We start from the raw sequence: 22,311 nt of genomic DNA on the forward strand, positions 1-22,311 counted from the left end.
CTTCTGGGGCCCGGGCTGCTGTCGGGAACAGTAGGGCAGAGCCCCAACTCTTGGATTTTTTTTTTTTTTTTTTGAGACATAGTCTCTTGCCCTGTCACCTAGGCTGGAGTGCAGTGGAGCGATCTCAGCTGACAGCAACCTCCACCTCCTGGGTTCAAGCGATTCTCCTGCCTCAGCCTCCCGAGTAGCTGGGATTACAGGCGTGAGCCACCACACCGGCTAATTTTTGTATTTTTAGTAGAGACAGGTTTCACCATGTTGGCCAGACTGGTCTCAAACTCCTGACCTCAAGAGATCTGCTACCTCGGCCTCCCAAAGTACTGGGATTACAGACGTGAGCTAGAACCCTTGGGTTTTGAGAAGGAGATGGCAGCTCTGCATAAACTTTCTTCTCTTACTCTTCCTTTTCCATTACCCCATTTCCTTCCTCTTGTCCTTCTCTCTTTCTGTATTAGTTTCCTAGGGCTGCCATAACAAAGTACCACAAACTGGGTGCCTCAGCTACAGAAATGCCTTGTCCCACAGTTTGGGAGGCCAGAAGTCCAAGATAAGGGTGCGGGCAGGGTTGGTTCCTGCTGAGGGCTCTGAGGGACAGTCTGTCCCAGGCCTCTCCCCTTGCCTCTGGTGGCTTGCGGGCAGTCTTTGGCATTACTTGGCTTGTAGACACATCACTCCAATCTCTGCCTTCATCTTTATGTAACCCTCTCCCTGTGCTCATGCCTGGGCCTAAATGTCCCCTGTTTGTAAGAACACCAGTCACATTGGATTAGGGTTCTCTCCGACTTTCTCTTGCTCTGTGTCTCTCTGGTGCCACCTCACCTGCCTGGCCCTTCATGGTTCACCTTACTGTGTGGGTCCCAGCCATCCACCAGAGATGGACAGGTGCCTCCTGGGCTGCCAGCCCCTGCCAGGACTCCTTTCTTTGCCTTTCCAGAGGTGGGTGTTGTGCCCACGTGACCCCAGACATCTCACCTTGCAGCTTCTAGATTCCCCTGCCCTTCTCTGACAAAACTTTTCTTCTGGAACATTGACTAACTCCTCTGTGTAGGCTGCAGTTCCCAGCAGGGGTTTATGAGTGTGGACAAGAAAAAGGGTATATCTATGTGAGTCTGCATACTTGGAGAATTTCCTTCTATCGATCAAAAAATATTCCAGCACAGAGCAGGACATTCTCCTGAATAAGCCTTATCACTTAAAGCATTTCCTCCTCAAAGGCAATCCATTTAGGTGAAGTGCAGAGACAACTGAGTTGAAATTCATCAAGAGGGGAATGTTGGCCCCCAAAGCATTATGGGCCATTAAGTCTGTAATGTGGCAGAGGCCTCTGGATAGCCAGAGTTCCTTCCTTCCTGGTGAATTGCAAGGGCTGCTGTGCCGGCACCTTCCTGTTATAGTCTCTGTCATACACACAAGCACTCAGACATTCTCCTGGTGTTTCCCTCTTCCTTGGGCACCTGTGTCCATAACGGAGGATGGTGATAGCTGGGAGACTCCCGCTTGGATGTCAGTGGAGGCCATGGGGCCCCTTCCACCACAGGTCTCAGGATTAAGGAGCTGCAGTTTTCATCGCAACGAGTGCCCCTTTCCCTGCTTATAGCTTGGAGGACGCTAGTCCTGGGCTCTGGGAGGGATATAGATAGATACCTGTGTCCCTCTGCCCTCTCCCTTCTGCTAGGACCCCGGCCTGCTCAGTTTGCCAAGGGTGGCTTGTTTTCCGTCTGGAGTGTCAAGCCTGCATTGAGAGGGAAGGCGTGGGGCTGGACCTTCCAGCATTGTGTATGTAGGAGTGGGGGTGGTGGGCAGGGTGAGTAGGACCTTTGTCTGACTAGGACCAATAGTTTTGAAATGACTTGAAAAAAATTTGATCTTGGGGAATTTCCAGCATGAGTAAAACCTAGAGACTTCTCAGAGTTTTGAGAAAGCCACCCCCTGTCAAGCCAGTCACCGCTTCTGTCTCTACAGCCTCCCTCCCCATGGCCCCACTGAGACTGCCTCCTGTCCAGGCCCTAGTCACCCACCCACTAAGGCTTTGCCCCGCCCTCCCAGCTGGCTGGGTCTCCTCCCCAACAGCCCGGGGCTTCTTCTGCCTCCCCATGAGCACTGCCTTCACATGGGGGTGCCTCCATCAGAATCTCCGGGGTGTTCTCATACCTGGCCTTCCAGACCCTTCCCTGTCCAGTCCAATCACAACCTCAGCTTCATCCATTCAGCAGTGTGAACCCACTGCTCCAGCCCCCTGCTCTGCCCCTGGCCCTGGACAGCACATCTGCTGTGCCCAGTCCAGAGCACTCCCCCTCTCTAAATAGTTGAGACCTACCCTCCAACACCAGTTCTGTGCATTCATTCTCTATATTATCCAACCAGCATCGCCCTCTTCTTTGTCATTTGTTCGACACTTTCTGGATCCTTAGACTGGAACACTTCAGACTGAAGAGTTTACCTGAATTTTGTCACCCCTAAAGTGTCTCCACCTTGTCTACTTTCACATGTAGTTTGGTTCAGTTTAATGAACGTGTGTGTGTGTGTGTGTGTGTGTGTGTGTATGTGTGTGTGTGTGTGTGTTTTCAAGAATATTTTCTGGACTCACAGTGGTTCTGTCTCCTTGGTTGATATTTTGGGAGATGAGGTGGGGAGTTGAGGAAGGAAGGAAGGAAAGAAGTGACCTGGAGGTAGAAAAAGAGTTGGCCAGGGCAGTGGCTCACGCTTGTAATTCCGGCACTTCGGGAGGCTGAGGCAGATGGATCACTTGAGCCCAGGAGTTTGGGGCCAGCCTGAGCAACATGGCAAAACCCTATCTCTACAGAAAAAAACAAAAATTAGTCAGGCGTGGTGGCACGTGCCTATAGTCCCAGCTACTCAGGAGGCTGAGGCAGGAGGATCACTTGAGCCTGGGAGGTCAAGGCTGCAGTGAGCCATGATTGTGCCACTGCACTCCAGCCTGGGCAACGGAGCAAGACCCTATTTCAAAAAACAAAAAGGAAAAGCAGAGGTGTCTTAGAAGCAGAAGTGGATAGGCCACCTTTCTGGAAGGGTCTGGACAGATCTCAAGTAGGGGGTCAGATTGGGGAGAACATGGTTAGATCCATTTCTCTGAGGATGGCTGCAAGCAAGAAGACTGCTGCCTCGTTACGGGGTGTGGGTGTGGGCCAGCCTCTTCAGCTGGAAGGAGGAGATGGGGAGAGGCAGGGCATCCTCCCACGCTGCTGCCCCTTGGGACACTCTTTGGAAGCCTGAGAGTTCCTGGTAGGCCACTCTGTTCCTGTCCCTTCCTCTTTTCTCTGAGATTGGTCCAGTAGGCAGCCTGCAGAGCCTCTGGCTTCAGCTTGGCCAGAAGACGTCTGACCTTACCAAAAAGTCCTTGGTTCTGAGTTGAAAACGGTCCGTCTCCATCGTCAGATATGACAGAGCCCCATGAGCGGTGCCCACCTGGCATGAGATACTGTCGTGAAAGCCTGCACTAGCCTCCCTGTTAAGTGGTGCGGCTTCCTTGCTTCCTGCTGACAGCACTCATCTTATACCTGCCCTGGGAAATGCCCTCGTGTTGGGCCACATGAATGATTCTCAAAGGCAGAAAAACAATTTTTTTTGATGGAACCATCAAGAATAGTTTAAGCATGTGATATTATTATCCTTTTCATTACTGTTGTATTTCTATTTAACATGATTAGATGACTAGTTCTGAAAACCTAAATTAAAGCACAGGCCGGGTGCGGTGGCTCAGGCCTATAATCCCAGTACTTTGAGAAGCCAAGGCGGGTGGATCACTTGAGTCTAGGAGTTCGAGAACAGCCTGAGCAACATGGCAAAACCCCATCTCTACTTAAAGAAAAAAAAACACACAGAGGAGGCATTTTGTTGAGATGAGAGTCAGCTCACATCACATTGCAGACACCTCTCTCAAAGGCAAAGGTCTTCCTGGGCCCCTTTCCCTAACCAGGGAAAATGAGGTAGATCCCTGCCTGGGTTTTTTCAGAAGCTGCTTTGTGTTTTTGTGTTTGTTTTTTCGCCATGAAATAAGTTGCCCTTGGTGTCAAACTGTTGATCTTAGGGGTTGTGGAGTGGAGTGGAGGATGAGGAAGGGGAGAAAGGAGCCCGTTGTATGCCAGGCATTATGCTAATAGTTCTATGTCCTTAATTCAGGCCTTACCCAAAGCCCATGGGAGGGTGGGTGCTGGCCTTCCCTTTTCAGAGGCCACTAGTCTCTGTTGCTGGTAATGTTCTGTGCTCTTAGCCTGAGTGGCCATGCTCTCCTGAATTCCACCCTTCTCTCCACCCACCTTGGTGGGATTGGAACAGCCCAGAAACCCAAACTCTACTTGGCAGCACATCAGGTTTTTATAGGCCCGAGAATGCTGAAGAACATGAAGCTTTATTGCGATGCTTTTAGAGAACGTTAGCTCAGCTCTGAGCCCCGTAGAAGGGTTTCCAAAGTCTATTAGGCGGCAAATGCTTTCATGGCTTTGGAATCATAAGGTTGATTTGAAAAATTGGCACCTAATGGCTTACAACTGTAATAAATTTCCTGAAATTGGACCTCAGAGGGAGACTCGGGTGCACACTCCCCCTGAGGAGTGTGGGCAGCCCTCTCCCCAGCTCGGTGCACACCAGGCTCTGTGAAGGGTGTTGCTCACCGCAGCCTTCAGGAACCAGAGTCCCCCGTAATTAGGGGAGAGGCCCTGTCACTCTTCATTTCTCAATTTGGACCCAACGTTTAGTGGCAATGACTGTGGGGAGGCTTCTGACTGGAATTTCTCCCCACTGGCCTTTAAAAGGCCAGGGCCTGAGAATTCCTGAAAAATTAATGGGGTCTCTGTGGGTTCTTTACACTTGCTGGTAACCTGGCCTCTCCCAGGCCCGCTGTGGCTCCCTGGCATAATAGCTGCTCAGCAGCCGGTCTTTTGTATGCAAATATGACCTAAAGCTGTATGGGAGGCGGCAGTCCATTGTTGCCCAAGACTGTGCGATTTCAAACAGACACGGGCTTTTAAAATATTCCAGACAGATATTGAAAATGTCAGCAGCAGGTTTTTCCCACTTACTTCTTGCCCAGCTCTTTTTTCCTCTCTCCCTCCCCCTGCCACCCACCCCACCATAAAATATAATCAAAAAGCTGGTAAATAATTTAAAGAATTGCCTCAAAGGATTTGCAGACTAGAAAGAGACTCCCTTCTCTGGTTTAAGTTGGGAGAAACTGTTTTCATTTTTTTTCCCCCAAGATATTTAAAATATTCAGGAGTGTCCCACAGGGTCTTGAACTTATAAGTGTCTGCATTTTTCTCACTATACTCTCATCCCCTCTTTTCTTTATTGATTTTTTTAAGGTTGCTGTCGGCAACATTTAGGTCCAACTTTCAAATGAAAATCATATTTCAGTTACTGGTCTTAAGTCAGACCAACTTAAGGTCTGTTTCATTCATCTCAGTTCTGTGCCCCCTGCTCTTTAGTTTAATGAGAGAGTGGAGGGAATCTTGGCTGCTGTGATTTTTCATCCTATTAGCTCTTTCCAAAGGGATCCTTATCTTGTGAGCAGAAGGGAGTGATGTCTTATATGTGGAGTCACTGTGTATCTTTTTAGAGAAACTTAATCATCCCTCCCTACTCACCTTGAGAAGGTCTCTGGGTAGCCAGAAGCTTAGACTAAGATGAGGGTGCACAGATTGGGAAAAAATAAACAAACCTCTTATTGACCAAGCCTCTGTCCCTGAAGACAGGCATTGCTCCTCCTGGGAGAACTGTCAGGTGGGTATGCATTTCTGGATCTCCCAGCAGTCCTGAGGCCAGGAGTCTGGCTGGCCATGTAGAGATGATTGTACCTGGGATATGGTGCATTCTTGAAAAGCATTGGATGGATGGAAAAAAGGAAGAAGTGTGAATGGATGAATAAAGGGAAGAGAAAAGAGGAAGGACAGATGCACGGATAGAAAGATGTAGGCTGGATGTGTAGATAGACGAATGAAAGGAATGGCAGATGGACGGATAGATGATAGATGGATGCATGGATAGACAGAAGGGCAGATGAAGGATGGATGGGCAGATGGATCGATGAAAGGAAGGAAGAACTGATGAAAGATGGCTAGATGGGTGGATGGATGGACAGATGGATAGATGGAAGGAAGGAAAGAGGGATGGTGAGCACCTGGTTTCCCCTTTAGTATTCATTCCCTCCTGCTGTATCCAACCAGAGGGCATTCCCTGGGCCTGCCCCTAGAAGGTGGAGAGGGTGATCCAGGACCTCTAGGACACTGGTCCTAGGGAATCCCGACAGTCTTCCGTGAACATTTACGGATGTCTGTACTGACTGACCCTCCAGGAAGGCCATTCTCATAGCACCCTTTCTCTTTAAAAGCATAGGGTTGCACGTATATGGCCCACCCCCCACCCCTTCTGTCATTCCCCCTCTCCTCTGTGAGGGACCTGCACACTGACAGTCTCTGGCCCATTTTTAGGTATCTGGCAGTCCCCTGCCAGAGCCAGATGTGTCCTCTCTGGGTCCAGCCAACAAAGGTCACCTCCTTGGCTGTGTGGTCTGTCAACTAAAGTCGTTGCCTCAAACCCAGCAATGTCAAGTGTAGTGGATAAGAGCTCAGGCTCTAGAGGCAGATGGGGCTGCGTTTGAATCTCTGGTGCCACCATTTACTGTCTGTTACGTAACCTCTTAGAGCCTTAGTTCCCGCATCTGTAAAATGGAGGAAAGAGTCTCTACTTAAGGGTATTGTGAGAATTCAACGAGACAATGCACACAGAGTCCTTAGAAACAAGCAGTGGCGGCCCAGTACGATGGCTCACACCTGTAATCCCAGCACTTTGGGAGGCCGAGACGGGCAGATCACGAGGTCAGGAGATCAAGTGGCTAACACGGTGAAACCCCGTCTCTACTAAAAATACAAAAAAAATTAGCCGGGTGTGGTGGCGGGCGCCTGTAGTCCCAGCTGCTCAGGAGGCTGAGGCCGGAGAATGGCGTGAAACTGGGAGGCGGAGCTTGCAGTGAGCCAAGATTGCGCCACTGCACTCCAGCCTGGGCAACAGAGCGAGACTCTATCTCAAAAAAAAAAAAAAAAAACAAGCAGTGGCTGGCACATTGTACTCAAACGCAATACATGTAGCATTTATTGTTGTTACTACTGAAAGTTGTGGGACTGACATCTCTTGAAGAAGAGATAGCAAGAATCCTGGCTTCTGAGAGGATCCTCAGGCACACAGCACACTGCTTGCTGAGGTCTTGAGCTGTCATCAGTGCCGGGGGATGCAGTCGGTGTGGTAGAGTGGCTGCCCAGAACGCGGGTCTCTTGGGCCTCATCCGGGCATCCTGTGAGCTCTGTTGTAAAGAGCAGCTGAGGATGGCGAGCGCTGGGGAGATGCTGTAGGGGGCCCGAGAGGAGTCATTAGCTGACCTCTCTCTCCTTGAGACAGAATCTTTTCCCTTCTGCTTTTGTTCTTATAACTGACCCTCTGACAGTTTTTCCTCCCTTGAAAGCAGAGGCCTTGAGTCTCCTCCAGCTGTCAGTTTGCGTGTTCCCCTGGGCATAAACTCCAACACAGGCTGCCCGATACCAGCTCTCACCTTCGTTTCTGCCCTGGAGAAAGGCTGCTTTCAAGTTGGTAAAAGCCTCAGGAGACCATGGCTGGCTCCAAGAGCCTCTTTGTGCTCTGAAATCCAGAACAGCCCTGGCCTTGTTGGCTCAGAGGAGCCTTCCAGAAAAACAGAAGTCCTCGACTTCTGCCTCATCTTCTAGCTCCTGTTCTTTTCTATTTTAAAGCCCTTAAGAAAGGAGGTGCGAAGTCCATGGTCTGTAAGCATAAAGGATTTTTAAACTAAACAAGAAAACCAATTATTTTTCTTAACTGCTTTAGTCCTTCAAATCTTTCACTGTAATGGAGATTTAGAACCCATCACAGTTGGGCTATTATTTCTGTGTAAACAGTGTCATGCCCTATTGCACCAAGCAAACAGTCAATTTTTTCCATTACACTTAGACACAGATGATGAGGGTGCCGAGTCAATGGTCTCCCGAGCAGGTTTTAGTTGATGGGGAGCGCGTGACTGTGGTTGGAGGTGAGGAAAGGGTTAAGGCTTACAGGGGATTTTGGTTCTTACCCAGGGGTCACCTTTTGGCTTCAAAGCTCTGTTAATCTTCAGGCCCTGGCTTGTGAACCTCCTCTATCCAGAGCATGGAGACTGGGGGAGAGAGAAGGGTTGGTGAGAGACTAGAGCTAAAGTGAGAAGGGCAGGAACTGAAAGTTTCTTTCAACTGGTGAGAGAGGGCACATCTCCAGTGTCCCCATCTCCAGAGTCTCCCTTCTTCCAGATGGTTCTGCTTTTGGATCTTCTGAAGTGCACATCTGATTTTGCATTCCACTGCTTGTAGCCCTGGGATAAAATCCAGACAGCTGCATGGCCCACGGGCCCCTGTCCTGTGGTGCCCACCTGGACTTCTTTGCTTCTCCAGCACTAACCCTCTTGTGGACCCCTGATGATGCCATGATGCCTCACGCTCTTTTCCCAGAATATTCTTCCCACCTCTCCCCTTTCTCTGGCTTAATGCCTTTTCATCCTCCAGGACCCAGCTCAGATGCTGCCTCCCCCAGGAAGCCCTTCCCCCACCCCAAGGCTGACTGCGGGCCTGTCAGGTGCTGTCCTGCAGTTCCCCTCTTCTAGCCCATACCCCTCTGTATTGTAACCCTGATCTGTCTTCTCCAGTAAAGTATAAGCTCCTTGAGGGCAGCCTCTCTATCCTCACCAGCTTAGTACTCCCTATGCCTTGCACAGCTTTGACATACAATACCTTCATATTGAAATTTTTATTTATTTATTTTTTTGAGATGGAGTCTTGCTCTGCCACCCAGGCTGGAGTGCAATGGTGTGATCTCAGCTTACTGCAGCCTCCACCTCCTGGGTTCAAGTGATTCTCCTGCCTCAGCTTCCCAAGTAGCTGGGACTACAGGCATGCACCACCATGCCTGGCTAATTTTTGTATTTTTAGTAGAGATGGGGTTTCACTATGTTGGCCAAGCTGGTCTCGAACTCCTGACCTCAGGCGATCTGCCCTCCTGGGCCTCCCAAAGTGCTGGGGTTACAGGCATAAGCCACCTTGCCTGGCCCACACTGAATATAAAATGAATAGATGAGTCCCCCAAAAGCTTCGCCCAGACCTAGCTGGCAGAGTAGGGTAAAAGAATAGTTGACTGTGTGCACTGGGGCGGCATCAGCCTTGCTGTCCACAGCAGGGATGGAGACAGCAGTGCTCCTGGCAGCCAGCAGCTCCTGCGGGTGGAAGGTGGTAAAGCAGTAAAGTGAAGAAGGCGGACCCTGAAGCCAGACTGCCTGGGTTCAAATCCTGGCCCCACCACTGTCACTTGGGCAAGTCGCTTAAACTCTCTGTGCCTCAGTTCCCTTATCTGCAAAATGAGGTTAACAACAGTAGGGCCCTTATGGAGGTTAAGTGACTTGCTAGTAAAGCGAGCAGTTCCTGCTCTGGAGTGGCCACCCCAGGAGGGATGGCTGTTGGCATTCTCTTTATGATGCTTCTGCTCTCTTGGCTCTGCCCAAGGTTGCTTCTGGCCCATCTGAAGACCTTGCTTAGAGCAGAGGTTGGGGACCCCATGTGGCATGTAACCCTGGGGGTGGTGGCTGCCCACCTCACACCCTACCCCCTACTCTTTTGTTTATGCCCCCTGCCTGGCCTCTGAGGCACTTGAGTTTGTGCCTTCTGTATTGACCTTTAGCTCCATCCAAGGTTTCTCGAATCAAGCTGGCTCTGCTAACAGACTCAGCCATCAACCTGCGGCATTTATGGAGCACTTTTTTTTTTTTTTTTTTTTTTTTTTTTTTTCAGATGGAGTCTTGGTCTGTCGCCCAGGCTGGAGTGCAGTGGTACAATCTCGGCTCACTGCAACCTCCGCCTCCTGGGTTCAAGCCATTCTCCTGCCTCAGCCGCCTGAGTAGCTGGGATTACAGGCGGCTGCCACCATGCCCGGCTAATTTTTGTATTTTTAGTAGAGATGGGGCTGGCCAGGCTGGTCTTGAACTTTATGGAGCACTTTCTGTGTACAAGCATCGTACTCACAGGTGACCTGTTGATCATAAATGCCTTAAAGAGTACATTTGAGCTGCTCCCTAATCCCATGAGGTAGGCTGGTATTACTCTTCGTGTTTTCTCCAGATGAAGAAGTCGAGCCAGAGAGTAGCTGAAGGCGTGCAGCTGCAGGAGACCATGCAGCTGTAAGCCCCCACCCCGCCTGCGTGCTGCCCCCAGCCTGGGGCCCTGCTGTTGAGCATTTTTGTTTTCCTCCTCCAGACAAGTACCCTCTCAGCCCTTGACTCTGCAGTAGGCTTCAAGGTCCACTTCTGCCCCAGAGCATCAGCTTTCTGGAAAGCCATCAGCATCTGGAGGAGAGGAGAGGAGAGGGGAGGGGAGGGGAAGAGAGGGGAAATGTCTTCAGCTACAAAATGCCTGGCTCCTTTCTCACTCAGAGGCTTCCTGCCTGAGGAGCTTGTCCTCTAGATTTTGAGGAGCAGAGGGGCTGAGGACGGCAGAGCTGAGATGCAGCTTCTCTCTTGCTGTGGGTGGGCGTGCCCTTGCTGACACAGGGGGCGAGGGTGAGAGGCTCAGCAGGGTGTTGGAGTTGCTGCCGGTTCCTGCCTGTGAGTGGGCCTTGCTTTAAGCAAGGTTGAGAGCCGAAATAATGGATGCCTATGAAAGACAAATTAGGAGGGGATTATCATCTCACAAAAGAAGGCTTCTAAAGTCAACTCACGAACACTCAGAGTGAGAGCTGGTTCATGGACTGCCTGGCAGGCACACCTATGCTCAGTCCAGGGACCGGCCTCCTTGTGGCAGGGGGCAGGGCGAGCTCAGGGGCTGTGGCCCTGCCTGCTTTCCCTAAGGGCTCTTCTGGGGAGGAGCCCTGCAGATCAGATCCCCTTAGTGAAGGAGTAGTGACTGGGGGGTCCCAGAAGACAAAAAACCTAGCCATAGTAGGCAGGGGGAGGGGCAATGCCTTCTGACCCCTAATTGAAGGTGATGGGAAGGGAGGGGGCCAGTGTCCTAGAGACTGGGGACTTCCTTTGGGGCCAACCCCATCTGGGCTCGAATCCTAGCTCTGCTGCCAACTGGCCTCATGACCTTGAGCAAGCCCCTTAATGTTTCTGAGCTTTATTTTGCTCATCTGTAATATGGGGATGATACTAGTGGTAATAATAATAGCTGTTGTTATTGCGTTGCTGTGCGCTGTGTGAAACACTCAGCGTGGATCCTGGTACGTCGTAAACACTATGTGGTGGTGGCTGTTGTTATTTGTCCCGTCACACGGAGCTACCTTCTACCCTGCAGCAAGTTCTGCTTTCCTGAACCTTTTCCCTACTCACAGGGCACACTATCCATCATTGAGTTTTCCCAACAAGCCACTTTTCTTTTCTTTCTTTTTTTTTTTTTGGATGGAGCCTTGCTCTTGTCGCCCAGGCTGGAGTGCAATGGTGTCATCTCGGCTCACTGCAACCTCTGCCTCCCGGGTTCAAGTGATTCCCCTGCCTCAGCCTCCTGAGTAGCTGGGATTACAGGCGCCTGACACCATGTCTAGCTAATTTTTGTACTTTTAGTAGAGACGGGGTTTCACCATGTTGGCCAGGCTGGTCTTGAACTTCTGACCTCAGGTGATCTGCCCGCCTCAGCCTCCCAAAGTGGGATTGCTGGCGTGAGCCACCGCGCCTGGCCTTCCACTTTTCTTTAAATGTCCTTTGAAGCTAACAGGCGGATCACCTTCCCTCCCAGAAGCTCGGGGCTGCCTGCTTGGGGATTTGCCCATGTATTTTGTCTGTAATGCATAATATATATGCGTGTGTGAGTATGTGTGCATAGGTCCCCCCACACGGATGTATATATAACTCATTCCCCAAAGAGAGATTTATTTCAAGGCACAAATGCTTCTAGTTAGCTTCTGTGTGGATCTGATCCAGCCCAGAGCCTTTGCCATGAGTAGAATTCATTGACGGCAAAAAGAAATGAAAACAAACATTCCCTGACATGGGGCATTTCCGTCGGGGGGCCTCTGGGAATTCTCCTCCTCTATTAAAATATCTACCAAATTGGACAGAGAAACTTGGCAGCCACAGCCTGAGCTACTTAATTGTTTCTGTGGGGAGGGTATGGGCAGAAGCTATGCACTGGCCTCTCTTCCGGAACCTTCCTCTCACCACTGAAGTGCAGGAGGATGGGGCTCTTCGAGAACAGAGGATGTTTGGTTGCCCCTGGAATCCAGCTACTACCCACCTTGTCTGGACAGGTGCCGAGGGATGGTGAGGGGAGAGTGCCTGCTCCCTGACCCTCTGCAAGCAGCTCTTTGTAAAGTTTGCAGGGGAAGGTGGCCAGTGGCTGGGAACTCACATTCCTGAGATGGTCTGCAGCCTTCCGCTTAGCCCCAGCAGACTGAATATGAATGTGGTTTTGATCACAACCAGCTGATGGGAGCTGACCCAGACTTATTATGATTTTGCTGTTTTTTTCGGTTTTGTTTTTCCTTCTCCCTCCTCTTCTTTATGGGGAAGATGTTTCTTGAATGAATTTGCTTCAGGGGACAGAGTTCAGGACGGAGGCAGATGAGGGGATATAGGAACTCTCACGCGAAGTTGGGGGTATTTGCTGATCTGCAGCACCCAGGGCTTTTTCCTCCCTCTCTCCTCTTAAAAATGGGCCACCGGTACTGTTTCCTGGGGCCTCTAGATGTGCACTGGTATTCATAGCAGTTGGGTCTAGACGTGCTCATTTATTCAGCATCTCATTTAATCCTTCTGCAAGGTAGTTATAATAATTTTCATTGTACCCATCTGGAAGCTGAGTCCCGGTGAAGTCGAACATCCCCCACAAAATGACAGAGCTTGTAAGTGGCAGAGCTGTTCAACTCATGCAGACCAGGCTCCAAGCCAGGGCTCCTCCACCTCAGCACTACTGACGTTGGGGGCCAGATGATTCTTTGTCGTGGGCACTGTCCTGTGCATTGTAGGAAGTTGCGCAGCATCTCTGGCCTTTACTCACTACCTGCCAATAGCATCCCCCACCCCCAGTCATGACAATCAAAAATGTCTTCAGACATTGCCAAGGTCCCCTGGAAAGCAAAATTGCCCCTGGTTGAGAATCACTACCTGAAACCTAAGTCCTTTCTTCTGCCCAGTGCCTGCCCCATGCTGTTACTCTTTGTGGGAATATGACTTTGTGTACTGTTTTTTTGTTGTTTTTTTGTTTTTGTTTTTGTTTTTGTTTTTGTTTGGAGACAGTCTTGCTCTGTCTTCCAGGCTGAAGTGCAGTGGCACAATCTCAGCTCATTGCAACCTCCACCTCCTAAGTTCAAGTGATTCTTCTGCCTCAGCATCCTGAGTAGCTGGGATTACAGGCGTGCACCACCACCCCTGGCTAATTTTCTTGTATTTTTAGTAGAGATGGGGTTTTACCATGTTGGTCAGGCTCATCTCCAAATGCCTGACCTCAAGTGATCTGCCTGCCTCGGCATCCCAAAGTGCTGGGATTACAGGGATGAGCCACCGCACGCACCCAGCCTCTCTGTACTTTTGAATACTAAGGTGATCAGTGGACATCTGAGGTGCTTGATCCAGTGTTGCCAACACATATTCAACAGATATGCAGTAACTGTGTATTGAGCATCTGTGGTATGCAAGGCACTGTAAGGTGTGGGCACTAAGTGAAACCCAGGCAGGAGTTTATTGCTGTGCCCAGGAGCTGAAGGATTTACCAAAACGCCTAGGGAGGGCTCCCTGTTCTCACAGAGGTCCCAGTTGAGTGGGACACTCACAGTCTTGCTGAGTAACAGATGCTCACTTTTGGTTTTTGGATGGACAGATGGTGGGAACGTGGGTGAGTGTCCAGGTGTGCCCCAAGGACACATGCGTGCACACAAGAGAGGAGAGAATAAAGCCCAAGTGGCATCTTTGGGGCTTCTGGTCATTCCTCATCAGGACCTGATAGGTAGTGTACTGTCCTGTCATCTAAAATAAACCTCCCTCTTGCTTTATCTGAGGGTCTGCATGCATTTCTCATTTCTGAAAACCTGAAGACATTTTTTTTCAAATCTCTTACTGTTTTTGAAAATTTACCTTTAAAACAAACATATGAGGAAAGGCTTCCAGGCCTTTGCTCTTCTAGTTTCAATTAATTGGTACCAAAAATGTCTGCTAGTGCCACCCGTAACCCCATGTCTCAGGGTGTCAGAACCCTAGAGAGACTAGGATTCCTTGGGAGTCCTTTCTGAGGAGCCCCAGATAGGAGCTAGTGAGAAAAGAGTGTTGTCTGTGTGTGTATGTGTGGATGCATGCTTGTGTACACACACACACACACACGAAAAGAACATCAGTTGTTCCTTTTCTCCTTTAAAAACTCCAAGAATGCATTTCAAACTCCTGTCTGCCAATCTCTCGTCCTCCCCCAGAAATCCTTGGTTAAGTCTTTAGACTCAACAACAACAACAAAGAACAAAGCCACAGACAATCTCTCCCTCCCGACAATGTCAGCTGTGAACTGAAGATCTGAATAGCCTTTAAAATTGTTTTATTGTTGTCAGCGCTGCAGAATGGTGTGTAATCTTTGTATTCTGGAGAATTTTTAATTGGCACAAAAGGGCAGTTTAGCCGGCATCTTGTAGGAGGTTTGTCATGCAAACGGTTAGTGCCTGCCACTCACAACATATAGGGCTATCCAAGCTGATTTACATCAGCAGCTCCCTCTGGTTAATAGCCTTGTATATTTCCTGGGGGTCTCTGAGCAGAAGTCAAGGGAAGATGAGGCTTCCCTCCCCTCCTCTGCATCCACACTGCATTGCAACGCATTAGGAACCTCCTGGCACCTTCCCCTGAGCCTGGATGGAGGTTGGGGGTGAGCAGAATGGGTCCCTCACATAGGTGGGAGCCTTCAACTAGACAACTGTTTCGTCTAGAGTGGCCTACTGGGGTGCAATCCCAAACAAGAAGCTGTCCTTCTTGCTACCTGTATTAGTTGGGTAGTGCTAGCTGCTGGTATAACTGAACTCCAAAATTTCAGTGCTTAACACAATAGAAGTCTGTTTCTTGCCCACTTAACAGTTCAGTACAGAGGTTTCTGGTTGCCTTTTCTTCTGTGCAGTGATTCAAGGATACCGGTTGATTCAGGGATCCAGGTTCCTTCCATCTTAGAGCTTTGCTGTCCCTTAGGACCTCAGCGTGGCTGAGGGTTGGGCACCAAACTAAACACTTTGGATATATTACCTCATTTAACCCTTAAAACAGCTCTTAGAAGATGATAGTGTTTTCATTTGACAGGTGAGAACATTGAGATTCACAGAGGCTCCGTCATTTGTTGAGGATCACATGGGAATGTCATGGGTTTTCCAGAGCCAAGTAAGGAAATACCTGGTTCTCCTCCCAGTCCCCATGCCCCAACCCATCTAGACCTGTCTGTTCTCACTCTCTTCCCCATTTAAAGCTTGTAAAACAAGATTCTTCTTTTTCCAAGGCCTCACCCCCGTCTGGCCAGCTGTCTCATGCTTAGCAAGTCTTTGAGACAGGGACTTTCTCATAGTGGGGACAGAAAAATTCTACCAAATTGAGCCTGGCCTTAACTGTGGAAAGGCAGGGTAGGGTCAAAAGATGAATTCTAGACCATTCACTTCTGTTGGTCCATAAGGCCTGGTGTGTGTGTGTGTGTGTGTGTGTGTGTGTGTGTGTGTGTGTGTGTGTGTGTGTGTCGGAGGGTGAGGAAGCAGGAGCTGTTTATCTGTACTCTGGAGAGGTAAACACAGCAGGTGGGCCCCACCGAAGGAATCTCTTGACAAGCTGGGCTTTCTCGTGACACAATTGCCTGTTAATGGATTCAGCATCTGGCAGTTTCACCAAAAGCCGACTGCCAATGAGCCTGGCTGCTCGAAACCCTTGACACTGCTGATCACAAATGGGTTTCCTTTTGACGCCCTGCGCTGCTCCTGAAATGGTCTTGATCAAACAACAGAGTAGTAGTTAACCGAAACCCATGTCCTAGAATTCTCCTCCTTCCCCACCTCCCGCAAGCAAAGTGATGTCGATGTCTGCAGGGGAAAATGAGAATGGGCCCTCACCCCCTAGCCCTGCAAAGACTGTACACATTTGTACAAAGCCTACTGAGTGCTCTGAAAGTAGCTTTTGCTTATGCATTGATGCAAAATGCACCCAAGGGGACTAGACTAAGCCAGGGAGGGCCCCAAGAGAAGGCAGTGTGCTAGGTGCTGGGGGTGGAGAGGTTGGCAAAAGGAACAGCTTCTGAAGCTTTGAGGGCTCTGAGAGAAAGCTTTCTCTTCTTAGATGTTGGGGACTTGACATCCCTGTCCCTCCTGGGTGATTTCCTGGCAGAAAGGTCAGGAACAAGTGGCAGTCATGAGTGGAAGGCATTTGAAGCAAGAGACTATCGCAGCCTTGGTTTAATCCATGTAACCAGCCCCTTCTGCACCTCCAGGAGTGGAGAGAGAGCCACAGCTATTCTCTCTTCTCCCCACTGCTAGGATGCTGGCTGCAGCTCAGAGGGTAAATTAAGCATGTAGAGAGCACAGAGCCTCTGCCCGGCCTGCTCCTGAGAAGACTCGCCCACCCAGAGAAGCTCTCGGGTCATCTCCTCACGTGCTCTGTAGTCTCTTAGCAGACGGTATGCCACACTGGGCACATTGATGGCGGGCCCACTGGCTGCAGGCCAAAAGCCAATAGACAGTTCATCCAGAGGCCCCCTCTTTAGCTCTGGGGGAGTTTGACCTCTGCTGATGAGAAGAAGCCATTTGGCAGAATCTGCAAGGCAGAATCGATGGCACCTAGTGGGCCCCAGATTCAAGAATCCTGGGTGCCCTGCTGGCTCTGATGTACATCTTTAAAGCTACTTTTCCAGCACAAAAGCACTAGAGAAGCCTTTATTTGTTACTTAATGCTTGTGTTTTGTTTCAAATTACAGAACTTGAAGCCTTTAGGATGCACTGCCAGATATCTTAGTTTCTTTTCTCAAGAAAGGAAAGTCCACAGGCCCCTGAAGCACGCATTGTACTACTATCTCCCCGACAAAACCAAGTGACATAGACAGATTACCACTGACGTCTCCATGTTACATCCAAGGCCAGCACTGATGTCATTGGGTTTCTGAATTCTCATGTTGAGCCAGAGATATGACGAAGGCCACCGTGAGGTCTCAGACTGCCCTGGGAGAATCACACAGTGGTTCTCAGAGTCGGAAGGAATTCAGGGATCCTGTTCTAGATTTTAGTGCAAAGCAGCCTTGGTTTTGGCCATGGGCAAGAGGCCAAGCCATTCATTCATTGCTTTTGTTCCCCCACCATTGCTGAAATACTGATTTCTTTTCTCTAGGAAACAAGCAAGACTTAACTGTTTAACCTGTGAGAGAGTCGCTACTTTGTCTCTTTGCTGCTGCATTTGTTCATTCGTTCATTCATTTAAATAGTCAGTGAGTGTGTGCTGTGTGCTAATGCCTTCCTATGCACTGGGGTGGAAAACAGAACTCCAGCCTTCATGGAGCTTAATTCTGGCAAAGGGCTGCCAGCCAAACAAGTAGAAGACTGTGTGTGCCCCAGGGGGATAACAGATAAGGAACAGGACTAGAGGGAAGGGGTGGGAGTGCTTTGGCAGAGTGGCACCTTCCAGCCAATAGAGCCCTACAAAATGATGGAGACCCTTGGGCTGCTGGGGGATTGGGAGGACTGACAGCAATCAGGATGAAGGACACTCTGAGACCAGCCCCACAGTTTCAAGCCATTTTTTGGGAATGGGGCTTTGAGTGTTGGGGTTGAGGGAGAGGCAGCCCCTTTTGCCTTGCGTACTGGGGCATGCAGGATTTGGAGATGGGAAAGGTTAGTTTGACCTGGAGCATAGGTTCCTTCTTATGTCATCATATTCCTGGACAATAAACCTGGCCTTTGGGTCTTAACTGTCTTCTCTGGACTCAGTGTTCCTGATTGCTTCTTTCTCAGAATGGGTTGTTTTCCCAACCCTGCTGTGGGTAAAACATCCCAGATACTCCATTTTTATATTTAAGGTTTAATCGTAAATGATAATTATATTTAATTATGGGAAATTCAACATTTCTTTCAATGAAGAGCAGGAAGGACACATCAAAAGAATCAGGATTAGAAATTCTGGTTCTCAAGTAAAGCAAAGCAGCGGTGAAAGACTCAGACACATCTGCACTAATTGGAGCCACTGAACTTTGTATTTTTGTTTGTTCTTCATGGTGGGCTGTCACCTGGACAGCAAGGTTCTCATGGCCACATCTGAGCTGCCATCCCTGAGACCTACTGTGGGCTAGACAGGCACCTTCCCACATGATCCATTTGATCCTCATTGATAGGTATGAGAAGTGGGAATTTAATTTTTACACATTGGGAGACTGCAGCTTGTGGAGATTGAGTAATATATCCAACGTTCTGCCAGCATTCAAACCCAGGTCAGAACAACTGAAATGTGTTATCTTTCTACTTCACATTACCAACTCATGAAGGTCCATTTATTTTTTTTGAGTCGGAGTCTTGCTCTGTCACCCAAGCTGGAGTGCAGTGGCGCAGTCTCAGCTCACTCTGCCTCCCCAGGTTCAAACGATTCTTCTGCCTCAGCCTCCTGAGTAGCTAGGATTGCAGGTGCCCACCACCATGCTCGTTTAATTTTTGTAGAGATGGGGTTTCACCATGTTGGCCGGGCTGCTATCGAATTCCTGACCCCAAGTTATCCACCTGCCTCAGCCTCCCAAAGTGCTGGGGTTACACATGTGAGCCACCACGCCCAGCCACGAAGGCTCTTTTGTCAGGAGAAAAAGCTGTTTCAAATATCAGCCTAGCAAAGTTAAAATATGAAGAATTAATGTTGGCATGTTAGATATCAATGTAACCATTAAAAACAAACCCAAAATAAAACCCCCCAAAAGCTATAACTTTCTTAATATTTCTTAGGCCAATAAACAGGACTCATGTTGACATTAACTGAAGTTCAGGCTCCAACCAGCAGCAGGAGAGTTTTGAAGCTGCAGAAGAGATTTCTTGTCACCTTCATCAGAGTATCTGCCTTACCCTAAGCCCTTCAGTAATATATTCAGAATTTCAAGATTGGATCATGTGAGCAGGACTTAACAGGCCTACCTCTGCCTGAGCTTGGCTGGGTTTCAGACCTCAGCCGCAGAGACGAGGCACTATAAATAGACGAGGGAAAGAGATTTAGCTCAAAAATCCTGTGTTCTCAGAATTGCCACCTTCTACCTTTTGGGCCAAGCTGTCCTAGCGTTGAAGCCATGATGTTTGCCTAGGTAACTTGGCATGAGTTAGTTTTCATGCCAGCCCACACCCCAGTCACAGAACCATGGTTCCTTGATATTAGGTGAGCATTGACAAGAAGGTGACTTTAGCCTTGGCCCTAAATATGAGGAATACAGTCAGAGAACTTCTTCCTTAGTGGCATGCAGTGAAAGGAGTGGGTTTGTATTGCCAGTGACCATTAGGATGTGAAGACTGGAGATGGCATTGATAAGGGAGACTCATAGGATTTCAGTGACTCATAGTACAGGATGGTATACACAAGGCACTGGAGAAAGACCCATTTCCTCTGGGTTCATGGTAATTACAAATGCCTTTAGTAATCTCCCCAGGCTGTTAACCATTGTGGGTGCAAGGAAATCTGGGTTTTCAGTGACAAGGTATTAAAGCCTGCATTTCCCTGTTGTTAGTAGTTGCTGCTTCTTAGCTTGATTTCCTTGAAGAGACTGAAGAGTAGCAGCCGGCAAGTAATGTCTTTCAAAAGGATATATCCATTCTGCTGAAAAGCATGGAACCAAAATAATCTGTAACCTATTCCACCCAAATAAATAAGTCAGCAAATAAGTCTGCTTTCATTGTATTGTCTTCTCCATAAATATCCTTTAAATTGAGGCTGAGTGACAAGATATGCTTCTGCCACTAAAATGGTATCACTGATGATATTGAAAGAGCCTTTAAAATACCACAATTGTCACTGAAACTATACTTTGCTTTTTTTCCCCCTTCTCCTTTGCTAGTAACTAGGTCTCTTTGGGAATTTTTAAAGTGACAATTGGTAGATTGTAGTCGATGATATTTCTTCCACATAATACTTCTGAATGCCACTCAACTCTGCCTTGATTGGCTCCAAATATCCCAAAGAAGAAAAATGTTTCATTTGAAAATGTAAAGCTTATTGGAGGTCATTTGCTCCCTAACTTTTACCCCTTTGCAGAAGGGGCAAGGAAAAGGCAACAGTGGTAAGACTCGGCCTCAAAGGAACATAACTGCTGTCAAAATCAATCCATAGCTATCGGCTTGAGTACAGGGTGGTATATGCTTATTAGATTCTCAAATGTTATTCAGCTTGATTGCAGCTTTTATACAAAGGAGTTAAGACACGGGTAGGAAAGATAATAGAACTATAAATTGCAAGACAGCTTCTTATGAAATCAGTAAATTATTCATTTAACAGTTCACTCTTTGTTGATTTCATGTTGCTATGGCACCTCAAGATGGAGGCGAGTCAGTCCACCGGCCCAACCAGGGGCCTTACACAGATGCACAAATCCTGGTGGAAGGCAGATAATGCATTACGTACAACCTTCGGCCACATGATAAATTGCCTGTTTATCTGGCAAATTCCAAGGAGATCTGCTGGAGAGAACTGAAAGAGATATCTCACAGTGGCTAACATTTCTTGGAAGAGACCCAGCCATCTCAGGGTTTGAGTCAGAATCTGTTTAAGAAGGCATTAAGAATGCATTGTCTTGGAGTGTCTTGCCTGTCTCCCGAGATTGTTGGAAACACCATCGGCTCACAGTTGCTTTGGCGTTCACGCTACAGTAAATGCCTGACTTCATTTATTATTTTGATGGGCAAAGAAAACTGCCTGCCGACAGCCATGCTCCTTCCTAAGCTCTTCCCAGACTTACTTTTGTAGTCCTTCTCTACCCGTGTACAATTTGATTTCTTGCTGCTTGTTAAATTATTGTACTTACGAAATATATTGCCATGGCCAAGTCTGTCATTCGTGTACATGGCGTGGAAGGGAGTTTGGGTGCCAGAGGAGTTAGGAAGCTTGATGCTGTTGTTGGCCGTGACTTTGGTGACAGTGTGACCTTGGACAAGTTCCTTTATCTCTAGGGTCTCAGCATCTTCATCTGAAGCATGAGAAGTTTGGGGTGGTCCCTTCCTTCTTTAACCTCCCGAGACTCTGTGCCTCTCACATGTATAGATTCCCTGTTTGTAGACAGCAGTGCTGTTATGGGGACCTCTGAAGGCTATCTGAATGTGCCTGCATTTAGCAAGTCAAGGCCAGACCCTCCAGATGCACTGGACTGTGGGGACATTTTGTGTGAGTGAGACTATTAAGAATTTAGCAGTTCATTCTGACAGCTTGATAGATGGAGTGGTTTTGCATGGCATCCATGTAGGAATTGACTAAAAAGGAAACATTTTCTGAGAGTCCGGCTGTGTGTGCATGCTGGGAGGTTTTTCTCAAATCAGATTTTAAAACTTTGCTCTGAAAGACCAACAACAATAACCTAATCCAATATCCTTGTATATTTGATTCTACTGACCATAACATTTCTTAATTTCTGCTTTTGGCTTCTGTAGCCTAATATACTAATGATAATAAGTATTAGTGTTGTATTAGGAGGTAGATGCTATTATCCCTCTTGCATTGGTTGGAGTCTAGTTAGGGGATAGAAACCATGCTAGTTGAGCTGTTCTGCTTATAGAGTAGCCATTCTTTATTCCTTTACTTTTTTAATAAACTTGCCTTAAAAAAAAAAAAAGAAAACATGCTAGTTGTTTGTACACAGAGAGTTAAGCTAAGGAAGTGTTCATGGGGATGTAAAATTAACTAACTGAAAGAGTAAAAAGAAAACTAAGGAATTGGTTCTTCAATATTAGGGTGCATCCGAATCACCTCTGGGGCTTATTCAAACACAAATGACTGGCGCCCCCCAAATTCACATTTCTAATACGTTTTCGAGTGATGCTGATGTGGCTGTTTTGCGGGGCCACGCTTTGAGAACCACTGCTGCCAGGTACTGCGGAGGTAGCAACTGCAGGAAGCCACCACCCTTACCCTACCTAGGGCTGATGAGGGAAAGACTAAAACTTAGATGTTTGGAGGAGGAACCCAAGGCCTCTGAGGAGGGATCTGGGCCACTGGTGCTCATGTCTCTGAGGGGGTGGATGCTGTGTTGCTGGTTCTGCAAGTGTTGGGAGAAACTACACGCTGGATTCAGCTGCTGGTACAGGAAGGCACCTTTACTGCCAGGATGAAGAAGCATTGCT

At 48.4% G+C, this 22,311-nt stretch overlaps 1 protein-coding gene across 10 annotated transcripts in view, besides 10 other annotated features; it reads left to right on the forward strand.

Annotated features, from left to right (window-relative positions):
* Nucleotides 1-22,311, forward strand: part of MSI2 (musashi RNA binding protein 2) — a 445,731-nt gene that overhangs the window by 205,628 nt on the left and 217,792 nt on the right. The window lies entirely within an intron of this gene.
* Nucleotides 548-787: an enhancer, noted in NCBI's record as "active region_12434". NCBI's record gives its function as "activates an Ori minimal core promoter by ATAC-STARR-seq in GM12878 lymphoblastoid cells {active_cell/tissue: GM12878}" and the evidence as "EXISTENCE:reporter gene assay evidence [ECO:0000049][PMID:35858748]".
* Nucleotides 1,550-1,844: a silencer, noted in NCBI's record as "tiled region #3702; HepG2 Repressive DNase matched - State 14:Gen5'". NCBI's record gives its function as "represses a minimal TATA promoter and a strong SV40 promoter by Sharpr-MPRA in HepG2 cells {active_cell/tissue: HepG2}" and the evidence as "EXISTENCE:reporter gene assay evidence [ECO:0000049][PMID:27701403]".
* Nucleotides 1,550-2,043: a biological region, named in NCBI's record as "Sharpr-MPRA regulatory region 3702".
* Nucleotides 1,724-2,043: an enhancer, noted in NCBI's record as "active region_12435". NCBI's record gives its function as "activates an Ori minimal core promoter by ATAC-STARR-seq in GM12878 lymphoblastoid cells {active_cell/tissue: GM12878}" and the evidence as "EXISTENCE:reporter gene assay evidence [ECO:0000049][PMID:35858748]".
* Nucleotides 2,144-2,223: an enhancer, noted in NCBI's record as "active region_12436". NCBI's record gives its function as "activates an Ori minimal core promoter by ATAC-STARR-seq in GM12878 lymphoblastoid cells {active_cell/tissue: GM12878}" and the evidence as "EXISTENCE:reporter gene assay evidence [ECO:0000049][PMID:35858748]".
* Nucleotides 4,539-4,788: an enhancer, noted in NCBI's record as "active region_12437". NCBI's record gives its function as "activates an Ori minimal core promoter by ATAC-STARR-seq in GM12878 lymphoblastoid cells {active_cell/tissue: GM12878}" and the evidence as "EXISTENCE:reporter gene assay evidence [ECO:0000049][PMID:35858748]".
* Nucleotides 7,972-8,021: an enhancer, noted in NCBI's record as "active region_12438". NCBI's record gives its function as "activates an Ori minimal core promoter by ATAC-STARR-seq in GM12878 lymphoblastoid cells {active_cell/tissue: GM12878}" and the evidence as "EXISTENCE:reporter gene assay evidence [ECO:0000049][PMID:35858748]".
* Nucleotides 8,282-8,431: an enhancer, noted in NCBI's record as "active region_12439". NCBI's record gives its function as "activates an Ori minimal core promoter by ATAC-STARR-seq in GM12878 lymphoblastoid cells {active_cell/tissue: GM12878}" and the evidence as "EXISTENCE:reporter gene assay evidence [ECO:0000049][PMID:35858748]".
* Nucleotides 9,604-10,467: an enhancer, noted in NCBI's record as "NANOG-H3K27ac-H3K4me1 hESC enhancer chr17:55548443-55549306 (GRCh37/hg19 assembly coordinates)". NCBI's record gives its function as "activates a minimal SCP1, AML or CMV promoter by ChIP-STARR-seq in naive H9 embryonic stem cells {active_cell/tissue: H9 hESC(naive)}" and the evidence as "EXISTENCE:reporter gene assay evidence [ECO:0000049][PMID:30033119]".
* Nucleotides 10,468-11,331: an enhancer, noted in NCBI's record as "NANOG-H3K27ac-H3K4me1 hESC enhancer chr17:55549307-55550170 (GRCh37/hg19 assembly coordinates)". NCBI's record gives its function as "activates a minimal SCP1, AML or CMV promoter by ChIP-STARR-seq in naive H9 embryonic stem cells {active_cell/tissue: H9 hESC(naive)}" and the evidence as "EXISTENCE:reporter gene assay evidence [ECO:0000049][PMID:30033119]".

The sequence above is a fragment of the Homo sapiens genome, chromosome 17 (genome assembly GCF_000001405.40).
Source record: "Homo sapiens chromosome 17, GRCh38.p14 Primary Assembly".
NCBI lineage: Eukaryota > Metazoa > Chordata > Mammalia > Primates > Hominidae > Homo > Homo sapiens.